Source organism: Homo sapiens, chromosome 14 (genome assembly GCF_000001405.40).
Source record: "Homo sapiens chromosome 14, GRCh38.p14 Primary Assembly".
Taxonomy (NCBI): domain Eukaryota; kingdom Metazoa; phylum Chordata; class Mammalia; order Primates; family Hominidae; genus Homo; species Homo sapiens.
The window spans coordinates 96,942,633-96,946,232 of record NC_000014.9 but is presented as its reverse complement, the minus strand read 5'-3'; the positions used below and the strand labels follow the sequence as shown (position 1 = coordinate 96,946,232).

Below are 3,600 nucleotides of genomic sequence, written 5' to 3'. Positions count from 1 at the left end.
GTTTATAAGTCACCCAGCCTATGATATTTTGTCATAGCAGGGCCCACATGGACCAAAACAAGTACTCACTCTGGGCCAGATCCCATTCCAAGAAATTTACACACAGAAACTCACTGGATTCTCATCACAGCTCTACTAAGTGGGTGGAGTTTTTAATCCCCATTTTACAGATGAGAAAACTGAGACAAGAGAGCCTAAGCAAGTTTCCCAATCCACGCAGTTGGTATGTCAGGATGCAGACCCAGGGACTAGCTCCAGAGTCTACAGTCAACCACTGCACGATGTCCATGAGAACAACAAAGTCAGGTATGAAACAGGATGTGGCTTGCCTTGTGAAAAGCACTCGCTGCCATTACAAGCCCTCACTATGTGCTAGACACACTCCTGGGCACTTTTCATATTTGTCTCCTTAGTGATTTAACACTGCCATCAGATCACACGATCATCCCCGCTTACAGCTGCCAAAATCCCCAGGGTCTCTCGGCAGGTGAGTTGAGAGCTGCCGTTTGAACCCAGGATTCCCTGCCTCGAAAGCCCATATGCATTTTCTGCTGCTTCTTGTGCTTTTGTGCTGGAAGAAGAGGAGTTGGAGGGTTGAGCGAAGCAAAAGAAAAAGAAAAATCAGCCAGTGTCTCCACTAAACGTTTCTAATGGCAGGGAGTTAAGCAATGGAGTACATCCCACACATAATGACAGTCACTCCAGCTTGGAAGGGGAAAGCCATTATACCTCCTTCTAAGAATAGACGTCAGCATAATTGAAATGACAATTCTTGCAATCCTCAGGTAATGAAGATTATTTTGAAATGAAAATCTTTTTTTTGTTTTTCTTTTTTTTTTCATTTACCTACTTGCAAGGACATTTTTCTTTTCAGAGGAAGGTCGTTGAGGTCTCCCTTGACAGAAGCGCCACTGTCTTTCTGAGCGGGTAGGTCCACCTTGATCGTCCAAGCTCTGACGCTGGGTGGCTTCGATCCAGAGTGTCCCGGGGTGTGGCTGGAGGGTGGATATAGGATTCGGAGCCATGCTGATAACATGCTGGTAACATGGAGTTTCCCAGGGACAAGGGACGAGGTGACCTACCAGGTCTCTCTCCGTCAGCCTCAGAGCCCACAGGGCTGGGCAGTGGTGGGCTGGGCAAGGGGAAGGAAATTCATCTCTGGAAACTGCCCTCCTGGAGGCCACCTGAAGTCGAAGACAAGAAGTGAAATTCAGAAGCTGCTCCGGGGTCACACTGTCTGTCTCTGGATCTGGATCTTAGGGAAAGAGCTGCCCCCCACAGTCCCACCTGTGAATCTACTCTATCTTCTATCAGTTGTGTGGTTGTATTCACCTTCCTGAAATTTCTTTCCCCTTCCCCTGACAAGAATTTTCTGCTTCTATCAATATCTGGGAACTCCTTGAGGGAAGGGGTCATACATTTTTACCTTCTGTTACCGGTATAATTGTGCCCCCACCAAAAAGACGTCAAAATCCTAACTCCCAGCGCCAGCGAATGTGACTGCATTTGTAAATAAGGTCCTTGCAGATGTAAATAGTTATGATGCGGTCCTACTGGACTAGGCTAGGAGCTAATCCAATAGGACCGCTGTCAGAATAAAAGGGGATATCTGGACACATTCAGGCACACAGGGAACACACCCTGTGAAGATTAGAGATCTGCAGCCACAAGCCAAGGAGCTACGAGAAGCTCAGAGGGAGACCTGGAACGGAGCCTCCCCAATGCCTTCAGAGGGAGCACAGCCCTGCCCACACCCTGACGCAGGCTTCCAGCCTGCAGCCCTGGGAAGCAGGACGTTTCTGCTGTTTAAGCTGCTCTTTTGCAGCCTTGTGTTATGGCAGGCCTGGGAAACTAATACAGTGGGTCATGTTATTTGTCTCAATTTCACAGATGGAGAAGTTGAGGCTCAAAGAAAGGGAGCCACCCAAGATCTCATGGCAGGAAGAGAGTGGGACTGAACCCAGCTCAGGCTGACCCGGAGCCCCAGGGACCCGAGGCTGTGGGAACCTGGTTTCCGGCTAGGACTTCGCGAAGGGCTCAGGGGCACAGCTCAGAGACTCCCTGCAACTGAGCCCCTCCGGGGGAGAAGGGGCCATGGAGCTGCTGGCCTCTCTGATGGGTGGGAAATAAGCCTCAGGCCAGCCTCACCCTTCCCACGATCTTGTGCTCTTCACCTGCCTTGCTCAGGAAAGCTAGGGCCCATCTTTTAACTCCTCCTGTTAGACCAGTACCTGTTAGAAACATGAACCCAAATGTGGGACTTTCCAATCTTTGCGGGACACTTCAAGGTCTGCTAAGAACCAGGCCCTCTCTGCAGTCGCACACGGCAGCAACGCCAGCAAGATCTGGGGGCAGGTTTTCTTCCACGTGGTTGAAAAGAGTTCCATCCCAGTGGCTGGGGCAGCCAGGGCTAGGCGGAACTAGAGGACCTCTCTCCAAGACACAGACGAAGATCTGGGGGAACCCGTTCCAAGGACCAAAAAGTCCTATCCAGGCACTGGTGCCTGCCTTGGCTTTAAAACAGCCTCCTCCTTGTCACCTGTGCATCTTACCTGCACAAACAGCACCATGGATGCAACGTGTCCCCACCCCTTGCACGCCAGCCCTGCACACTCCGCCCACGTCTCTACACCATCCTGAAGAGATGTCATCTCGTCCTCTCGTGGTTCCCAGCTGAGTCAAGTCATAATGGCATTCAGAAGGCAGTTCTGGTCTCCTAAGGAGAAAGGGGACACTTGGTGAGGCAGAATGAGCACAGGGCAGGCAGCCCGGCAAGTCACGTTCCCATCTTGTCCCCACCTGCCACGATTTAGCTCTGTGAGCCTTGCCTCCACCCCGCCTCTTCTTCTGACCAACATCTAAACCTCCTTCAAGATTTAGCTCAAGCCTTGCCCTTGCAAAACCTTCCAGGCCTCGCCACCATGCACAGCCTGGGCAAGCTGCCCACAGGCCCCCCGTGCCCTTGACACACATACCCCCTGTATTATCAATGTCTCGGTGCTGTTTGCCAGCCTGACTGTGGGCTGCTGAGTTGGGGGTGGGGGCACTGCAAAGTGCAAGTCTATGCCGATGTATTCGAAGTGACCCAAGGGGCAGTCCACGAGCTGGCAGAGGACTTTGCCTGCAAGGTGGCCTGAACTCCATCCCTCGTTATTCGGTACTTGGGTAGGGTTGGGCAGTACCTGGGAGGGTCACATTATAATTGGGGGCACTGGCCATGGGGCCAGGCTGCCTGGGTTCAAACTGTGGCTCTGCTACTTAGTCGTTCTGTAGAATCTTGAGTATGCTGCTGAAATGCCCTGTGCCTCAGCTTCCTCGTCCATAAAATGGGGAGAATACAAGTAACCCTTACGGCCATTATGTGGGTCAAATCCACATAAGGCACTTGGAAAAAGGTCAGGCACACAGTGAGTGCTCAGTAAATGGCAACTTTTCTTCTCATTATTGACCCATCTCTCTTTCCAACATCTGGTACATGAGTCAAAGGCAAATGATCTTACCCCAGCAGAAGAGTCCCCTTATTTATAAAACAAGGGGATTAAATGAACTGATCATCAACCTCTGTCCCACTCTATGTTTTCTGATTTGGAGGTGCATTTC

The 3,600-nt window shown here is 51.0% G+C and overlaps 1 long non-coding RNA gene across 1 annotated transcript; it reads right to left on the bottom strand.

The window, feature by feature from the left end:
• Positions 1-838: 838 nt before the first annotated feature.
• LINC00618 (long intergenic non-protein coding RNA 618) lies at positions 839-2,654 on the bottom strand. The gene is made up of 3 exons (NR_104113.1): positions 2,553-2,654; positions 1,083-1,184; positions 839-995 (listed from the first exon to the last, which is right to left on the bottom strand). It is a non-coding gene; the product is annotated as a long intergenic non-protein coding RNA 618 (long non-coding RNA).
• Positions 2,655-3,600: the final 946 nt, after the last annotated feature.